Source organism: Homo sapiens, chromosome 12 (assembly GCF_000001405.40).
Source record: "Homo sapiens chromosome 12, GRCh38.p14 Primary Assembly".
NCBI lineage: Eukaryota > Metazoa > Chordata > Mammalia > Primates > Hominidae > Homo > Homo sapiens.
In genome coordinates, this window is record NC_000012.12 from 15,861,873 (window position 1) to 15,882,332 (window position 20,460).

Below are 20,460 nucleotides of genomic sequence, written 5' to 3' on the forward strand. Positions count from 1 at the left end.
TCTACAGTTGCCCTGGTTTTAGTTGTTTGTCAGTGCCTCCAAGTACTGATTTTTTTATTTTGTCCTGCATTATATGTCTTGCATATATGCAAAAGATTGGCCTGTTACATAAATACATATACATCAAAGATTTAGATATTTAAAAAAACCCACAAAGTTACTTTAAAAAGCATGGATTAATATTTTTATAATGTAAGAGTATGAAACACCTTTCTAAGCATGACATAAAATCTGGAAGCCCCAAAGAAAAATATTGACAAATTGTACCACACCATATCAAGTAAAACATCTGTATGATTAGAAACATAATAAAGCAAGTCATGATAAGATGCAGTGGCTCACACCTGTAATCCTAGCACTTTGGGAGGCTGAGGCAGGTTGATCACCTGAGGTCAGGAGTTCGAGACTAGCCTGGCCAACATGGTGAAACCCCGTCTCTACTAAAAATACAAAAATTAGCTGGGCTTGGTGGTGCATGCCTGTAATCCCAGCTAATCGGGAGGCTGAGGCAGGAGAATCGCCTGAACCCAGGAAGCAGAGGCTACAATGAGCCCAGATTGTGCCACTGCACTCCAGCCTGGGCGTAAGAGTGAGACTCCATCTCAAAATAAAAATAAAAATAAAAAAATAAAGCAAGTCAAAAGAGGAACTGGGACAATACCTGCAGCACATGTGACATTTAACAATGAAAAGAGAGTTTCCTGAATGTGCAGACTTCTCTTCCAAGTTTGTACCTGACATCCAATAGCCTATTCATCATCTATACATGCGTTACACACATCATAAACTCAACATGTCCCAAACTGAATGTATAATATTCTTCCCCAAAACTGCTCTTCTTTCAGTGTCCCCTGTTGTTAAATAGCAACACTATTATCAAGTTGTTTAGATGAGAAATCGAGGCATCGGTTGACAAATTCCTTTCCCTTCCTCTCCTAACCTTCATTAATCGTGCTATAAATTCTTCCTGCTAACCACATTTGAATAATCCAATGTGACAATCTCCATTGTTGCCTCCGTCATCTCTGGCCTCAATTATATAATAAACTTCTAACTGCTGTCCTGGTATCTGCTCCCATTCCCATTCTTTATGCAGCAGCCAAAGTTCTGTTTTAACAAAATAAATCTGATTGTGTCATCTACTGCTTCCAGTTGCACAAAGGTTAAAGTCTAGTATTCTGAACTTGGCCTGTGAAGTCCTGGGTAATATTTATCCTTGTCTTCTTTCACTCACCCTTGCTTACCTTTCCCATCCTTCTGTCCCTCAAACTTGTCAGATACCTTCCCAACATAGAGCAGTATCTGTCTGGAAAGCTCTTTTTCTTATTCTTCAGCTGGCAGATTATATCTCATCCTTCTTCCTCATTAAATGGCACCCACTACCAGACTAGGTTAGATTTTTCTTTAAAAAATGCCTAAAGGCAATATTAAAAGAGGTCAAAAGACTGAATGAGAAGGTATTTCACAAATTGCGGGAGTCCATCCCACAGACCCTGACCCCACGACGGATGAATGATGTACAGTGACACAGATATTATGTTTGTCAGTCCAGCTGAGCATCTGGGCCACTACAGACTCCAAGGAGAGTGTTGTAAAGAGTAGCAGCCAGGCTCTCCACTCACTGGCCCTGCCCGCATTTATTCAGCATACATAAAATGACAAAAGTCTCAAGTAAACACCACTAGAAGGTAATTACCTTTGCGGTTGCTGGAACTCCGCACTCCCCCGGAGTAATCACGCACCCGCGGATGGTCAAAACAAGCTATTTAGATAGACTTCTCTACATTCCTATGTTAATTACTCATGCTATAGCTCAAAGAGGATTAGGCTGCCTTCAGCCATAACTCTATCCCCAGGCTTTTGCAAAAACCTTCTGGTCTTCCAAGAAGGTTTGTGTTTATTTTACAATTTTTCCCACCATCCTGACTGAACCCCTACAACAAATGACAAAATACCAACAGCTAATAAACATGAAAATGTTCAACACCATTAATAACTACAAATGCAAATAAAATTTGAATAATGACATATTTCCCACTGACAGATTGGTAAAGTTTACACACAATACTGGCAAAGGTGTGCATAGACATAAATTAGGATGGCAACTTGACCGTATCTACTACATTTTAAAAAAAATATTAAGTGGTCATTTGCTCTGAGTCAACAATGATAGAGTTTGCAAAGTACTAGGAGTTTGGTGCAGCTCGATGGAGGAGAAACTGTCGAAAATGAAAGCGTTAGCTACTTGTGCCAAAGATTAAAAAGAGGAAGGTGGACCATAAGAGATGGGCAATGTGGTTTTAAAACAGTGAGTTGTGTGGGGAGGGAAGGATAAAAAGGGAAACCACAGCTACTTGGGAGGCTGAGGCAAGAGGCTCATTTGAGTCCAGGAGTTTGGGGCAAACATGGGCAATGTAGCGAGACCTCATCTCTAAAAAGGGAAACAAAAGAGGACAGAGTTCCTGATGCTTACTTAACGGCATCTGAATGAACTGATAAGCAACAGTAGGGAAGAAGTAAAGGACTGTTTTATACAATCCTATAGATTCCACATGTATTAAAAAAACTTATTTTGCTATAATTTGAAATTATAGGAAAGTTGCAAGAATAGAACAAAGAACATTCACATATTCATTTTCCAATTTTTAAAATTTTTCACATTTGCTTTATTATTTATCACCTATCTTTGTATAGATGTATATATACACATATAAAAACATAATTCATTTTTCCTGAACCATTTTGGATTAGGCTTCATGCATCATGCTTTTATATCTCCTTATACTATGTATTTTTCTTAAGTACAAAAACATTCTCCTCATGATTATAATCTAGTTATCAAATTCAGGAAACATAATACTAATACAATACTTTAATCTAAAATCCATATTCTAATTTTGTCAATGTCCCAATAATGTCCTGTATAGCATTTTTCCCTCCAGCACAGGATCTAGTCTAGGATCATATATTTCATTTAATTGCCATGCCTTTGTATTCTTCTTCATTCAGAAACAGTTTTCTAGACTTTAAAAGAATCTTTCATGATATTGCCATTTTTGAAGAATACTGGTCAGTTTAGAAAATGTTTTTCAGGCCAGACGCAGTGGCTCACGCCTGTAATCACAGCACTTTGGGAGGCCAAAGTGGACAGATTGCTTGAGCCAGGAATTCAAGACCAGCCTAGGCAACATGGTGAAAATCCCCGTCTCTACAAAAAATACAAAAATTAGCCAGGCATGGTGGTGCACATCTGTAGTTCCAGCTACTTGGGAGGCTGAGATGGGAGGATCGCTCGAGCCCAGGAGACAGAGGTTGTAGTAAGCCGTGATTGCACCACTACACTTCAGCCTGGGCAACAAAGCAAGACCCTGTCTCAAAAAAAAAAAAAAGAAAGAAAGAAACTGTTTTTCAGTTTTGGTTTGCCTGATGATTCCTTGTAATCAGATTTTAGTTATGCAGCCCTGGTCAGATACTTTGTAAGTGATATTGTATCCTTCTCAAAGTATTTGGAAGCATGCAAAGTCTATCCCTCATGGGTGATGTCAATTTTGATCCTGTTGTCAAGCACTGTGAAAGGTCTGAGATTTTACCCTACTTGCAAGCTAACAAACCTAACCTGCCACATTTCACTGATGCTGGTGAAAGATGCTGGTCTGACTTCTTGAGTCAGACACAAAGGATATTATTATTCATGGTGCTGCTGGAAGCATGAGAAGCAGCATATTTACATCTATTCTCAATGTCCCCAAGTTCCACAGGGATAATACAAATAGGTTCTGATGAGTAGCCACATATGCAGTGGGTTGCATTACAGAAGAAAGACCTTGAGCTTAGGGAACTCAAATGTTTTATAATGAACAATAAACATTATTTTGTTTTCCTATGGAGGGAGAAGCTGTCTATCTTCTAAAGCTGTTTGCAATAAAAACATTATTTAAAAGGGAATCCAGAACCAAATGCAGCATGTTTCTGCTCATGAGATTTGCAGAAATAGTGGGGATCCATGGAAAATTTTCTGCCAACACCTGGTCAAGATGTTGTATATTTTCTCCCCTGTATAGTAATTATTTACTCTTATCATACTTATCATCCCTCTAGATTAGGCATCTATTGATGACCTTCACCCAAAGTCCTTTTTACAGTGATAGTTGCTATATTGTTTTAGTCTTGTTATTATACTCCAGATGGATTCTGTACTTCTGTTGTAATTGTTTGGTGGATATTGTATTCTTTCTTATCTGGGAAGCAGTAACACTGCTTTTGAGGAGAGGAGAGAAAGTAATACTCCAAAATAAAAAAAGAAATGAATTAAGCCATTCCTAAGGGACTGAGAAAATCAAATAATCATGGGGAATAAAATGCATACGTCATTTTTAATTTAAAGGTCTTAAACTCAGAATTTAAAAACTGTTCAATAAAATTTTAATTTTTTAATCTTAAACCTATATTGGTTTCCAATTGGTTTCATTTCTTTTGAAGATGAATGCCTGTAACTAAAACTACCACCCCATTTAGAAAAACAATTATTATTCTTTGTTTTTCTTCCCCCTCACTTCTTTCTATGCTGAGCTTTTAATAACGCTTAACTTACATGCATTGCTTAAAGAACTCCAGGAACGGGCCTTGAAAAACTAAGCATGAAATCAAGGTTGTGGAATGTTTCACCCCAGGAAGTATTTCATCTGTGTGTAGTTCATCTATATTCTTGTTGCAATCAACCAGACACCAGCTAGACCACCAGCTGGCCCACTGCTCAAGATAGTCATCAAGACCAGACATACTACCCCTCACATAGTAAACTCTTGTGCATAGTCCATATCCCTGCTTCCCATAAAAACTCTCTAACTAGCCTGAGAAACTTGAGATGATCTTTGTGACATGAGTCCACCATCTCCTCAGGTTGTCGGCTCCTGAATAAACCTGCTTTTTCTCCCAACAACTCTTATCTCTCAAGTTTGGCTTTTGAGCTGTGAGCGGGTAAACCTGAGTTTTGTTACGTGCCTATGTTTAACGTTTTAAGTTATTATCAACAGGGATTATTAATGCTATTACATAGTTTTGCTTAGTATTTGGAATCCCACAGAATACACCTAATATGCCAATGAAAAATAAAATGCCAATGGTGTCTTTGTTATCAGTGAGAAATTAATCAGGAAAAAATTTGAAAAGAGACATAATTGTTACGATCAAGTATTTAAAATGCAACTATATAATATTATTTTTGTAGCTTAGATAATGAAAGTGATTTGTCCTTCCTCTACTAATAATTTTCAAAATATTTGTTTTGTTTTTATTACTATTATTAAGGAGTTATTTTGAATATGTGAATAATACCTGTTGAGAATACTGATCTACAAAATGTTATAGAAGAATAAACGGGAGGAGTACACACTACCCGATATTATGACATACTAGAGAGCTACAATAATCAAAACAGTGTGATATTGGTGGAGAGATAAACACTTACATCAGTGGAACCAGACAGAGAGTTTAGAAACAGACCCACACAAATATGCCCAATTGATTTTTTTTAATTTTAATTTTAATTTTTAGATGGAGTCTCGCTCTGTCTCCCAGGCTGGAGTGCAGTGGCACAATCCTGGCTCACTGCAACCTCTGCCTCCCTGGTTCAAGTGATTCTCCTGCCTCAGCCTCCCAAGTAACTGGGACTACAGGCGCCTGCCACCACGCCTGGCTAATTTTTTGTATTTTTAGTAGAGACGGGGTTTCACCATGTTAGCCAGGATGGTCTCGATCTCCTGACTTCGTGATCCACCCGCCCTGGCCTCCCAAAGTGCTGGGATTACAGGCATGAGCCATTGCGCCCAGCCCCAATTGATTCTTTTTTTTAAAGATACAATAGCAATTTAATGAAAGGAGGATTGTTTTTTTCAATAAACGATGCTGCAGCAATTGGACATCCACAGGCAAAAAATGAACATGGAACAAACCTCACACATTATACATATGTTAACTCAAAATGAATCATGGCCTTAGATGTAAAACAAAAAACCATAACACTGTCAGGGAAAAAAACATGATACAGGGTAAGGTAGAGTTCGTAGACCTGACACCAAAAGCACAATTCATAGCAGGGAAAATGGACAAATGGCATTTCATCAATTTCTTTTTTCTCTGTGAAACACTGCTAAGAGGAAGAGAAGACAAGCTACATCCTAGGAGAAAATATTTGCAAATCACATATCTGACAAGGGACTTGTATCTAGAATATATGACAAACTCTCAAAATTCAACAGTAGAAAACCAAATAATTAGGAAAAGAGCAAAAGGAATGAACAGCGATTTCCCTCAAAAGGTTATTCAAATGGCAAATAAGCAAACAAAAAGATGTTCAGTATGAGTAACCATTAGGGAAATTCAATTAAAAACCACAGTGAGATATCACTGTATACCAATCAAAATGGCTAAAATAGTGACATCGCCAAATGCTGGTGAGGATGCAGAGAAAGTGGATTGTTTATACATTGCTGGTGGGAATATAAAATGGTGCAACCACTCTGGAAAAAGTTTGGTGGTTTCTTTTAAAAAACAAACATCTGGCCGGGTGTGGTGGCTCAAACCTGTAATCGCAGCACTTTGGGATGGCTTGAGGTCAGGAGTTCAAGACCAGCCTGACCAACATGGTGAAATCCTGTCTCTACTAAAAATACAAAAAATTAGCCAGGCATGGTGGCAGGGTCCTGTAGTCCCAGCTGCTCCGGAGGCTGAGACACAAGAATCACTTGAACCAAGGAAACGGAGGTTGCAGTGAGCCAAGATTGGGCCACTGTACTACAGTCTGGGCGATGGAACAAATAAACAATTAAAAAATTAAAAAAATAAAAAAATAAAAATTAAAAAAACATACAAGTACCACATGACATAGCCATTGCATTCTTGGCATTTATCAGGGGAAATGAAAATTTATGTTCACACAGAAACCTGTATTTGAATGTTCATAGCTGTTCCATTCATAACAACAACAACAACAAAAAACTGGAAACAACCCAGATGTCCTTCAATGTATGAATGATTAAACATACAAATAGGCGAAGGGTTAAACACTTGTTATTTTTTGTTTTTTTGATAGTAGTCATCAAATGAGTATGAGCTGGTATCTCACTGTAATTTTGACTTGATTTGCATTTCCCAAATGATTAGTAACATTGAGCACCTTTCTTTTTCCTTTTTTTTTTTTGAGACTGAGTCTCACTCTGTCACCAGGCTGGAGTGCACTGGGACGATCAGAGCTCACTATGGCCTCCAACTCCTGGACTTAAAATCCTTATGCCTCAGCCGCCTGAGTAGCTGGGACTACACCACGCCCGGCTAATAATTTTACATTTTTAGAGATGAGTTCTCACTGTGTTGCCCAGGCTGGTCTTGAATTCCTGGTCTCAAATGATCCACCTGCCTTGGCCTCACAAAGTGCTAGGATTACAGGTGTGAGCCACTGCACTCGGCCCTCATATTCTTGGTCATTTTTGTATCTTCTTGGGAGAAACATCTATTCAATACTTTTGCCTGTTTTTTAAATCTGGTTGTTTGGTTTCTTTTGTTGAGTTCTATATATATTCTTTTAGGAGTTCTCTGTATATTCAGGACAGCAATCTTTTATCATATAAATGATTTGCAAGTATTTTCTCCTGTTCTGTGGGTTGCCTTTTTACTCCGTTGATAATGTTTTTTCATGCGTAAATTTCTAAAATTTGCATGAAGCCCAATTTATCTGTTTTTTTTTTTTTTCTTTTGTTGTCTGTGTCTCTGGTGTTATATCCAGCATGTGGCTATCCAGCTTCCCCAGGTTCATTTGTTGAGGAGCCTGTCCTTTCACCCATTGAATTCTCTTGGTCCCTTTGTCAAAAATCATTGGACTATAGATGCAAGAGTTTGCTTCTGGCTCTGTATTCTATTGTACTGGTCTATATTTTAGTTGAGTATGATGTTTACTGTGGTTTTTTCCATATATGGTTTTTATTGCATTGAGATAGTTTCCTTCTATTCTTAGTTTATTGAGTTTTTTTTCATCATGAAAGTGTTTTGAGTTTTGTCAAATGCTTTTTGCATCAGTTGAGATAATCACGTGGTAATTTTCCTTTGTTCTGTTAATGTAGTGTATTACATTATTCATGGTGTGTATACTGAACCATCCTTATAAGCCAGGAATAAATTCCATTTAAAATGGAGCTTAATTCTTTAATAAGCTACTGGATTTGGTTTGCTAGTATTTTGTTGAGAATTTTTCCATCAGTGACCACAAGGAATATTGGTCTATAGTTTTATTTTCTTTTGGTGTCTCTTACTTTGGTATTAGGATGATTTTGGCCTCACAGAACGAGTTAGGAATTCTTTCTTCTCTTCAATTTTTTTGGAAAACTTTGAGAAGAATTGGGATTAGTGCTTCATAAAATGTTTGGTAGAATTCACCAGTGAAGTCAGCAGGCCCAGGGCTTTTTTGTTGTCGTTGGAAGGTATTTGATTAATGGTTCAACCTCCTTACTAGTTATAGGTCTATTCAGATTTTCTATTTCTTCATGGTTTAATCTAGGAAGGTCTTACGTTTCTAGGAATGTGTTCATTTTATCTAGGTTATTCAATTTATTAGTGTGCAATTGTTCACAGTATATTACCTTTATTTCTGTAGAATCAGTAGATCTGTCCACACTTTCTTTTTTCTTTTTTTATTTTTTTTGAGACGGAGTCTCACTCTGTCACCCAGGATGGAGTGCAGCGGCATGATCTTGGCTCACTGCATGCTCTGCCTCCTGGGTTCACGCCATTCTCCTGCCTCAGCCTCCTGAGTAACTTGGGACTACAGGCACCTGCCACCATGCCCGGCTAATTTTTTTTGTATTTTTAGTAGAGACAGGGTTTCACCGTGTTAGCCAGGATGGTCTCAATCTCCTGACCTCGTGATCCGCCTGCCTTGGCCTCCCAAAGTGCTGGGATTACAGGCATGAGCCACCGCGCCTGGCCAGATCTGTCCACACTCTCATTTCTAATTTTAGTAATTTTAGTCTTCTCTATTTTATTTCTTAGTCCATCTAGCGGAAGGTTTTTCAGTTTTGTTAATCTTTTCAAAAAACCAACTTTGTGTTCATTGTTTTTCTCTATTATTTTTCTATTCTTTATTTCATTTATCTCTACTCTAATCTTTATATTATTTCCTCCCTCTGCTAGGTTTAGGTTTATTTGTTCTTTTTTTCTAGTTCCTTGAGTTGTAAAAGATAGGTTGTTTACTTGAGATCATTCTTTTTAACACAAGAATTTATAGCTATTAATTTTTCCTTTAGCACTGTTTTCACTGTGTCCCATAAGTTTTGGTATGTTCTGTTCTTGTTTTCATTTGTCTCTAAGTATTTTCTAATTTCCATTGTGATTTCTTCTTTGATCTATTGGTTGTTTAAAAGTGTGCTGTAGCCAGGCGCAGTGGCTCACGCCTGTAATCCCAACACTTTGGGAGGGTGAGTCGGGCGGATCATGAGGTCAGGAGTTCGAGACCAGCCTGGCCAACATAGTGAAACGCTGTCTCTACTAAAAGTACAAAGATTAGCTGGGCATGGTGGTGGGCACCTGTAATCCCAGCTACTTGGGAGGCTGAGGCAGGAGAATTTCTTGAACCCAGGGGGCGGAAGTTGCAGTGAGCCGAGATCATGCCACTGCACTCTAGCCTGGGCAACAGAGCAAGACTCTATCTTGAAAAAAAAAAAGTATGTTGTTTAATTTCCAGAAATTTGTGATTTGTTTTGTCTTCCTTCTGCCATTGATTTCTAGCTTCATTCTGTTGGGGTCATTCTGTTGGCAGTTTGCTTCTTCATGGCCAACATAAGAATTTCTATTTTTGGTCAGCTGAAACGGAGTCTTATATAAAGCTCACAAGAGTGACTTTCCCATCACCTTCGCTATATAATGTAACCTAATCAAAGCAGCAACTACTGCCCACATCATACAGAACTTCAGCCCATACTCAAAGGGAATAGGTTGTACAGGGCAAGTACACCAGAGAGTTGGAATCTTGAGGGCTATCTTAGAATTCTGCATACAGTAAATATTAAGTAAATATCATAGGATATTTATAAAAATGTATATGGAAGATATAATAAAGATATTGTAACAAACACCTGAGTACCCACTATTCATTTTTAGAAAAAAAGTATTATAAAATTTGAAGTTCCATATACCTATCCCACTTCCTGTCCATCGATCTTCAATCCTATTCATTAGTATGTGCTTTTCTTTATAGTTTTTGCCATGTTTGTATCCCTCAACAATATATGGTTTGTTTTGCAAAGTTTAACCTTATGGAAATGAAATTATCTGTATGTATTGACAATATCATGGTTCTGGGATTCAACCATGTTGTTCATTTTCACTTCCGTGTAACATTTCGTGGTACGGATATACCATAGTTTATATTCTACTCTATTATGGATGGATATTTCTGTTCTAATTTTTGGCTATTCCAAACAATCCTGGCCATGAACATTCTTTTACATGGCTCTGTATATCTTGTGGAAATGTTTCTGTAGGTTATATATGCAGATGTGAAATTGATGTGTTATGGGATATGTACAATTTCAGTATCATTAGTATTGCCAAATTATTTTCTAAAATAAGGCTGGGAAACATGGCAAAATCTCATCTCTTCAAAAAATACAAAAAGTAGGTGGGTGTGGCAGAATGCACCTGTGGTCCCAGCTACTCAGGAGGTGCAGGTGGGAGGATCACCTGAGCCTGGGGATATCAAGGGTGCAGTGAGCTGTTATTATGCCACTGTACTCCAGCCTGAATGACAGAGTGAGACCCTATCTCAAATAAAAAAAAAAGTTATAATTTACAGTCTTATCACACCCTTGCTTTATATCCTTGCCAACACCAGGAAATGAATTTCTACCAATGGCCAACATGAAATGGTATTTCATGGGAATTTTAATTTGTATTGTTCTGATTACTGCTGAGTTTAAGCATTTCCCCCTATTTTTCTACTCGGTTGCCTGTCTTCTTAATGCTTAGAGTTCTTTATATACTCTTGTACTAGTGTGTTGTCAACTATATGTGTTGCAAATATTTTTTTCTGCTCTGACATGCTATTTCAACTCTTTATGTTATATTGCAATATAATTTCTTAACTTTGCTATAGGCATGTATCAATTCTTTTATGGTTTGCACACTTTGAGCTTTATTTTATAAACTATTTCTTTACTTGAAGGTCATAAACATTCTCATCTTCTACATATTTTATACATTTGATTGTCAAATTATGAAATATTTTATATTTTGTCTAATGTGTATGATTTAAGATAGGCCTCAAATTTCACTCATTTTCAAATGAATAATCTTTTTTGACCAGATTCAATGAAGTTATTTTTTACCCACTTATCACAGTACTGCTTTATCATTAATTGGATTTTTTTTTTTTTTTTTGAGATGGAGTCTCGCTCTCTTGCCCAAGCTGGAGTGTAGTGACACGATCTCGGCTCACTGCAACCTCTGCCTCCCGGGTTCAAGTGATTCTCCTGCCTCAGCCTCCCGAGTAGCTGGGATTAAAGGCACGAGCCACCACACCCAGCTAACTTTTATATTTTTAGTAGACACGGGGTTTCACCATGTTGGCCAGGCTGGTCTCAAACTCCTGACCTCAAGTGATCCACCTGCCTTGGCCTCCCAAAGTTCTGGGATTATAAGGTGAGCAACCGCGTGTGGCCGGATTTCTATATACATGGACTACTTATTCTCTACCCTTTTTCTACTTGTTTATCCCTATGTCATTGCCAAAATATCTTATAACTTCAAATTATGCTTGATATCTAGTTGGAGAAGTTATTTCCCCTGGGTTTTCTTTTTCTGGAGTGTCTTAGCTATTCTTGGCCTTTTTATTTTCTATGTAACTATTAACAACAGCATGAAAAGTTTTATTTAAAAACAATGGAGGATTAGATCCAAAAAGTCAGGGGCGCTCCTGGGATCATGGCCCAACAGGAGGCAGGACTAGATTGCAGCTCCATATAGAGCAGCATTTGGAGGCTTGCATTGTGAATTTTAGCTCCAGATTGATTGCAACAACAAACCAGCAATCCCAAGAGGACCCACAGACCCTCTGAAGGAAGCCAACTGCTCCTGCAGGACCTGGGAGACCCTCAAATAATGTGAGTGCCCCAACTGTGGAAGTGGGAAAGAGAGATTCCTCCTCTCCCGAACACACATCCCCACTGGAGAAGCTGAAGGTCCATTTGCGGGAGAAGTTTCTGACTTTACCTAGAGCTGAGTCAAGTTAGAGAGCCGAGTGAAATACAGGGGTAGAGGAAGCAGCAGTACGGCCCTGGGGGCTCGCTGGGTCCCCTAGCAGCCCGTTCCTGCCTGGCACCACAGGGATCCACTGGAAGAGTGGCCAGAGGAGCAGCAAGTAAAACTCCACAGAGAGAAGGAATTCTCTAGCTGAACTTTGTAACAATTTGAACAGGGTGAGAAGCCTCCTGGCCAGAACTCGGGGGAGGGTGCAAATCTTGCGTGCAGACTTCACAGGTTGGGGAAGGACTAAATCCCTTTTATTTTGCAGCTGGGAAGCAGATAGCATTGAGAGGTGACAGCGTGCTGGCAGCCCTTGCAGCCCTCACTCGCTCTCGGTGCCTCCTCGGCCTCGGTGCCCATTCTGGCCACGCTTGAGGAGCCCTTCAGCCCACCGCTGCACTGTGGGAGCCCCTTTCTGGGCTGGCCAAGGCAGGAGCCGGCTCCCTCAGCTTGCGGCGAGGTGTGGAGGGAGAGGTGCAGTCGGGAACCGGGGCTGTGTGCGGCACTTGCGGGCCAGCGCGAGTTCTGGGTGGGCGTGGGCTCCGCTGGCCCACACTTGGAGTGGCTGGCCAGCCCACAAGCCCTGGGCAGTGAGGGGCTTAGCACCTGGGCCAGCAACGCTGTGCTCGATTTCTCACTGGGCCTTAGCTGCCTCCCCACAGGGCAGGGCTCAGGACCTGCAGCCCGCCATGCCTGAGTCTCCCCCACCCACCCCGCTGTGGGCTCCTGTGCAGCCTGAACCTCCCTGAGGAGTGCCACCCCCTGCTCCATGGCACCCGGTCCCACCAACTGCCAAGGGCTGAGTGTGGGTGCATGGCACAGGACTGGCAGGCAGCTCCACCTGCGCCCGGTGCGAGATCCACTGGGTGAAGCCAGCTGAGCTCCTGAGTCTAGTGGCAACTTGGAGAATCTTCATGTCTAGCTAAGGGATTGTGAATGCACCAATCGGCACTCTGTGTCTAGCTCAAGGTTTGTAAATGCACCAGTCAGCACTCTGTGTCTAGCTCAGGGTTTGTAAATACACCAATCAGCACTCTGTATCTAGCTAATCTAGTGGGGACGTGGAGAACTTTTGTGTCTAGCTCAGGGATTATAAACGCACCAATCGGCACCCTGTCAAAACAGACCAATTGGATCTCTATAAAATGGACCAATCAGCAGGATGTGGGTGGGGCCAGATAAGGGAATAAAAGCAGGCTGCCTGAGCCAGCAGTGGCAACCCGCTCCGGTCCCCTTCCACACTGTGGAGGCTTTGTTCTTTTGTTCTTTGCAATAAATCTTGCTGCTGCTCACTCTTTGGGTCCACATTGCCTTTATGAGCTGTAACACTCACCACGAAGGTCTGCAGCTTCACTCCTGAAGCCAGCGAGACCACGAACCCACCGGGAGGAACAAACAACTCCAGACACGCCACCTTAAGAGCTGTAACACTCACCGCGAAGGTCCGCAGCTTCACTCCTGAGCCAGCGAGACCACGAACCCACCAGAAGGAAGGAACTCCGAACACATCCGAACATCAGAAGGAACAAACTCCAGACACGCCGCCTTTAAGAACTGTAACAGTCACCGCGAGGGTCCGCAGCTTCATTCTTGAAGTCAGTGAGACCAGGAACCCACCAATTCCGGACACAGCATCAGGCAAGTTTTCAAGCCCCTCTTACCCTCCACCTGGAAACAAACTCAGGGCTGTTGCGGGGACATGGTGGAAGTGAGACCTGCCTTTCACTTTGCATGGGAGCTGGGTGAGGCCTGTGACTGCTAGCTTTCCCCCACTTCCCTGACAACCTGCATTACTTGGCAGAGGCAGCCATAACCCTCCTAGGTATACAACTCCAGTGACCTGGGAATCTCACCCCCATCCCCCACAGCAGCTATAGCTAGGCCTGCCCAAGGAGAGTCTGAGTTCAGACACACCTAGCCCCACCCCCATGTGATGGTCCTTCCCTATCCACCCAGGTAGTGGAAGACAAAGGGCATATAATCTTGGGAGTTCTAGGGCCCTGCCCACTCCGGGTCCCCCTCCACACTAGTATAGCTGATGCTTTCTGGAAAGCACCACCTCCTGACAGGAGGCCAATCAGCACAAAAACAGAGCATTAAACCACCAAAGCCAAGGACCCTCAGGGAGTCCATTGCACCCTCCACCACCTCCACCAGAACAGGTGCTGGTAGCCACAGCTGAGAGATGCATAGATGGTTCACATCACAGGACTCTGCGCGGAAATCCCCCAGTACCAGCCCATAGCTGGGTAGACTTGCTGGGTGGCTAGACCCAAAAGAGAGGCAACAATCACTGCAGTTTGGCTCACAGGAAGCCACATCCATAGGAAAAGGGGGAGGGTACTAAATCAAGGCAATACCCCATGGGACAAAAGGATCTGAACAACAGCCTTCAGCCCTAGACCTTCCCTATGACAGAGCCTACCCAAATGAGAAGGAACCAAAAAACCAACCCTGGTAATATGACAAAACAAGGCTCTGCAACACCCCCCAAAAATCATACTAGTTCACCAGCAGTGGATCTAAACCAATAAGAAATCCCTGATTTACCTGAAAAAGAATTCAGGAGATTAGTTATTAAGCTAATCAGGGAGGGACCAGAGAAAGCCGAAGCCCAATGCAAGGAAATAAAAAAAAAAATAATACAAGAAGTAAAGGGAGAAATATTCAAGGAAACAGCTTAAAAAAAAGCAATCAAAAATTCAGGAAACTTTGGACACACTTTTAGAAATGCGAAATTCTCTGGAAAGTCTCAGCGATAGAATTGAATACGTAGAAAACAGAAATTCAGAGCTTGAAGACAAGGTTTTTGAATTAACCCAAACCAACAAAGACAAAGAAAAAAGAATAAGAAAATATGAACAAAGCCTCCAAGAAGTCTGGGGTTACAGGAAACGACCAAACCTAAGAAGAATTGGTGTTCCTGAAGAAGAAGAGAATTCTAAAATCTTGGAAAACATATGTAGGGGAATAATCAAGGAAGTCTTCCCCAGCCTTACTAGAGACCTAGACATTCAAATACAAGAAGCGTAACAAACTCCTGGGAAATTCATCACAAAATAGATCTTTGCCTAGGCACACTGTCATCAGGTTATGCAAAGTTAAGACAAAGGAAAGAATTTTAAGAGCTGTGAGACAGAAGCACCAGGCAACCTATAAATGAAACCCTTTCATATTAACAGCAGATTTCTCAGCAGAAACCCTGCAAGCTAGAAGGGTGAGGCCCTATCATCAGCCTCCTCAAACAAAACAATTATCAGGTAAGAATTTTGTATCCAGCAAAAATAAGCATCATATACGAAGGAAAGATACAGTCATTTTCAGACAAATATGTGATACACCACATAAACAGGATTAAAAACAAAAACCACATGGTCATCTCAATAGATGCAGAAATAGCATTTGATAAAATCTAGCATCCCTTTATGATTAAAACTCTCAGCAAAACTGGCATACAAGGGACAAAGGGACCCAAAAGCAAATTCAATAAAAACAAATATAAATAGCTGGGACCTAATTAAACTAAAGAGCTTTTGCACGGCAAAAGAACAGTCAGCAGAGTAAACAGACAACCCACAGAGTGAAAGAAAATCTTCACAATCTATACATGTGACAAAGGACTAATATTCAGAGTCTACAATGAATTCAAACAAATCAGTAAGAAAAAAACAATCCCATCAAAATGCAGACTAATGATATGAATAGACAATTCTCAAAAGAAGATATACAAATGGCCAACATATGAAAAAATGCTCAACACCACTAATGATCACAGAAATGAAAATCAAAACTACAATTCGATACCACCTTACTCCTGCAAGAATGGCCATAATCAAAATATCAAAAAACAGTATATGTTGGCATGGATGCAGTGAACAGGGAGTACTTCTACACTACTGGTGGGAATGTAAACTAGTACAACCACTATGGAAAACAGTGTGGAGATTCCTTAAAGAACTAAAAGTAGAACTACCATTGGATCCAGTAATCCCACTACTGGGTATCTACCCAGGGGTAAAGAAGTTATTAATCGAAAAAGATACTTGCACATGCATGTTCATAGCAGCACAATTGCAAAACAGTGAAACCAACCGAAATGCCCATCGATCAACGAGTGGATGAAGAAACTGTGGTATATTTATATACAATGGAATACTATACAGCCATAAAAGAAATAAATTAACAGCATTTGCAGTGACCTGGATGAGATCGGAGACTATTATTCTAAGTGAAGTAACTCAGGAATGGAAAACGAAACATCGTATGTTCTCACTGATAAGTGAGAGCTAAGCTATGAGGACGCAAAGGCATAAGAATGATACAATGGACTTTGGGGACTTGGAGGGAGGAGTGGGAGGGGGGACGAGGGATTAAAAGACTACACATATGGTGCAGTGTATACTGCTTAGGTGATATGTGCACCAAAGTCTCACAAATCACCACTAAAGAACTTACTCATGTAACCAAATACTAACTGTACCCCAATAACTTATGGAAAAATAAAAATAATAATTTTAAAAACGTCATTGCCCCTCCCCCCCAAAAACTGGAACTTTTATTTGCAATTGTATTGAAACTGTAAATCATTTTGGAGATGTATTTGTTTTCTAGGTCTGCCATAACAGATGTTGGTGGCTTAAACAATGGAAATTTATTTTCTCACAGTTCTAGAGGCTAGAAGTCCAAGACTAAGGTCTGTAAATTTCCTTTCTTCTCTGAGGCCTTTCCCCATGACTTGCAGATGGCCACCTTCTCACTCTGTCCTCATCTGGTCATTCCTTTGTGTTGTCTGTGTCCTCATCTCCTCTTCTCAATAAAGATAACTGTTGCATTGGATTAAGGCCCACCCATATGACCTAATTTTACCTTACTTATCCAAATACAGTCACATTCTGAGATAGTGAGGATTAGGACTTTAACATAGGAATTTGGAGGAGGGGAACCCAATTCAGTCCATAACAGGAGAGCACTGATATTTTCCCAAAATTGAACCTGCCAACCCACAAACACAATATATCCATTTTCCATTTATTTTAATATTATTTAATGCCTTTAATAGAGAACGATACATTTTGCTGAGAGGCATTAAATAATATTGAACATCATGTTGGGTATTCCTTTATTTAACGAGATCCCCTTTTCTCCTTTTTGTACTATGGTTTAAGTCCTAGAAGGTTGACATTTATGGACCCCATTAAAGGGCTCCCTTGTCTTCTGGGCTCTGGCTGGGTTTGACCAATGGGAAGCATGGGAGATCTAAAAGTAGATATTCATTTCCCCACTTCTTCCCCATGGCTGTGCTGATGATAATTGGGAGCAGTTGTGTTCTTCTACTGATTATTCCAGCTCTCGCCCAGAGCCTTCTCCTGCAACCGTACCTTTCTCAAATAAATCAGGTTCAGATAACTGCTCCCTTTCAGTTTCTCATTCAGATCTATGGTTAGTGCCCTATTTTCTCCTTGTTGTTTACTTTTGATCCTGGCCACACTTCTGTAACTAATCCCTTCATTACACTGCTCTCAACTTCTACATTTCAGCGTGCCAGTTTTTTTTCTGCTGGGGAGTACACTTTGTTTTTTTATTCCTATGTACTTTATAATTCTTGATGCTATTTAACATGGCATATTTTAAAATTACATTTTTTGTTGTTGCTAATGTATAGAAATGTGATTTCTTCATTACACTTAAAACAACAACAACAACAACAACAAAACCCAGTAACCTAGGCATCGCACCCAGCCTGGGTAACATAGTGAGACTTCATCTCTTCTAAAAAAAGAAAAAAACAACTTCAGTAACCTTTCTAAATTCTCTCATTAATTCCAATAATTTTTATTTTTATTTTTTTCTTTTGAGACATGGTCTTACCTCATTGTCCAGGCTGCAGTGCAGTGGCAGAAATTGGGCTTATTGCAGCCATGAACTTCTGGGCTCAAGCGATCCTCCTGCCTCAGTGTCCCGTGTAGCTGGGATCACAGTAGTGTACCACCATGCCTGGCTAATTTTTTTATTTTTTTGTAGAGCCTGGGTCTCACTTTGTTGCCCAGACTGGTCTTGAACTCCTGGGCTGGAGTGATCCTCCCATCTCAGCCACCCAAAGTACTGGGAACTGGAATTACAGGCATGAGCCACCACACCTTGCCTCTTTTCTTTGTATATAACCTCTAAAACAATTTCTAATCACAGATTTACAACTTTCTTTGGAAGATTTATGCATTTTTAAGTTACCTGAACATCTAGTACGATGCTGTATTGAAGAGGCAGTAGCAATCATCTGTCTCGTACCTAATCTAATACAGAATGCTTTCTGTATTTCACCATTAGGTGTGGGGTTTCAGATATTCTATGAGGTTAAAAAAGTCCCTTCTATTTCTAGTGTCTCAGAATTCTTATAAGTGAAAGAATGCTGAATTCTATCAAAAACTTCTTACACATCTTTTGATATGATTTTCTTTAATCTTTTAATATTGTTAATTATATCAATTACATTAACCTGTCTTCTAATATTAAATTGACCTTGAAGCCTACCCAATTGGTCATAATACACAATACTCTTAGAACTCAGAATCCAAATGAGCAGGAAATAATACATTCTTTAGAGCCAAGTATGTACCATAACTTACCAATTATATTCTTATCTACACACAATGAGCAATAAATGAACATGTATCAGTATCTGACCAGTTGTGTCATTTTGAGTGGGTCTTTTATTTACCTCCATCAGTAATGCAACAATCTATTTAATCAGTAAACAGTCATGCTGAGTATTCACTAAATGCCATTCACTTTTCTGGCACTAGAGTACAAATGACAAAGCCATAACCATTGCCATTAAGGAGTTCATAAATGTGTGAGTGGTGCGTATGTGTGAGACAAAAGGGAGAGGATGGCACAAAGGAGGAGTCGAACAAGATAAAATGAAAAACATATATAGTAAGTGCTTTACCGTAAGTGAATGAACGAGAGTACTAAGGAAAAAGAATGGAGACGTATTTCAAGTTCTCACGTTGTTTGACTCGAATCTTGTAGACGGTGTTTGCTGCAAAAAGATGAAGAAAACATTCACAGACATTTATGTTGATTACATATTTATTGCTATGTGCCCAGACGTTTTGACCTTGGGGATAAAGTAGCAAAGAAAACACAAAAATCTCTGTTGTATTGGGTTTACATTCTATCAATAAAGATACAACTTGCCCAGAGAAAAGCCCTCTCCTGGTTAGGAAACAGTATCAACAATTAACAGCTCTGGTGGTTTCACAGAGCCACAGTGGGCTGCCTGCTGCAGACAATATCAGAGTTTGTTTATATTTAAATATTATTTTAATATTTCTATTTTTGTCCATGTATTATAATGCACATCTATGTAATTTGCAAATCATCACTCATATATACATCATATCAAAAGGTGTAAAAGTTTTTGATAGAATTCAGCATTCATTCGCTTATAAAATGAGTGAAGGCTCACTTTACGGATGAGAGTATTTCATCAAAAAAATTGGGGATCTACGACTCTAGAGTTCTCCGAAGTCCACCAAGGAAAAAGTAACTTGAATTTAATCGCATTTAAAACTATATAGTATCCACTCCTAAAACATTAGCAACATAGGAAAACTTACACAGCGGAAGAAATGACTGGGGATTTTTTTTTTTTTTTTAATACATGGTCTCGCTCTGTTGCCCAGGCTGGAGTGCGGTGGCGCGAGCACCGCTTACTGCGGTGTCGACCTCTCGGGCTCGAGTTATCCTCCCACCTCAGCCTTCCAAGTAGGTGGGACCACAGGCACCACCACTCCAAGCCCGTATATGGTTTTTAAATAAGACAAATTGCAAAAAACGTTGCCAGACAGCGTTCGCTGGTTTGGGCCGTCACTGGGTATGGCTCGTGTCCGTCTAGATATTCAGAGGCCGAGCACAGTCCTCAGTAGGGCTGCTCGGCAGGTACACAGCTGACGCTGGTCCTTGGACTTATGGGAGTGGGAACAACTTTCAACTCGGCCGCGGACCAGGAAGGCGTTCTGACCCGCTAGAGCTCGGGGACAGGGACCCCATCCCGGTGCCTAGAGCGTCTCCCTTAGTCGGCGTGGGCCAGCGCCAGTTACCTCACGAGCACTGAACTAGCGCCTGCGCCCTTCTATACTTCTCGCTCTTTCTTCAAGTCACTTCTACCCG

General features: G+C 40.4%; 1 long non-coding RNA gene across 5 annotated transcripts in view, besides 2 other annotated features; it reads right to left on the reverse strand.

Moving 5' to 3' along the window:
* The window catches only part of LOC102724146 (uncharacterized), a 65,230-nt gene extending 44,804 nt beyond the window's left edge, over positions 1-20,426 (reverse strand). For 3 of the 5 annotated variants that reach the window (XR_007063230.1, XR_007063229.1, XR_007063227.1), the window contains exons 1-2: positions 19,908-20,426; positions 19,235-19,327 (exon numbers count right to left, since the gene is read on the reverse strand). This is a non-coding gene — a long non-coding RNA (uncharacterized LOC102724146). The remainder of the gene's footprint in view (positions 1-19,234; positions 19,328-19,907) is intronic. The other 2 variants (XR_002957404.2, XR_007063228.1) reach the window with 1 other exon arrangement.
* Positions 17,523-17,817: a silencer, noted in NCBI's record as "tiled region #5867; HepG2 Repressive non-DNase unmatched - State 24:Quies". NCBI's record gives its function as "represses a minimal TATA promoter and a strong SV40 promoter by Sharpr-MPRA in HepG2 cells {active_cell/tissue: HepG2}" and the evidence as "EXISTENCE:reporter gene assay evidence [ECO:0000049][PMID:27701403]".
* Positions 19,933-20,162: an enhancer, noted in NCBI's record as "active region_6071". NCBI's record gives its function as "activates an Ori minimal core promoter by ATAC-STARR-seq in GM12878 lymphoblastoid cells {active_cell/tissue: GM12878}" and the evidence as "EXISTENCE:reporter gene assay evidence [ECO:0000049][PMID:35858748]".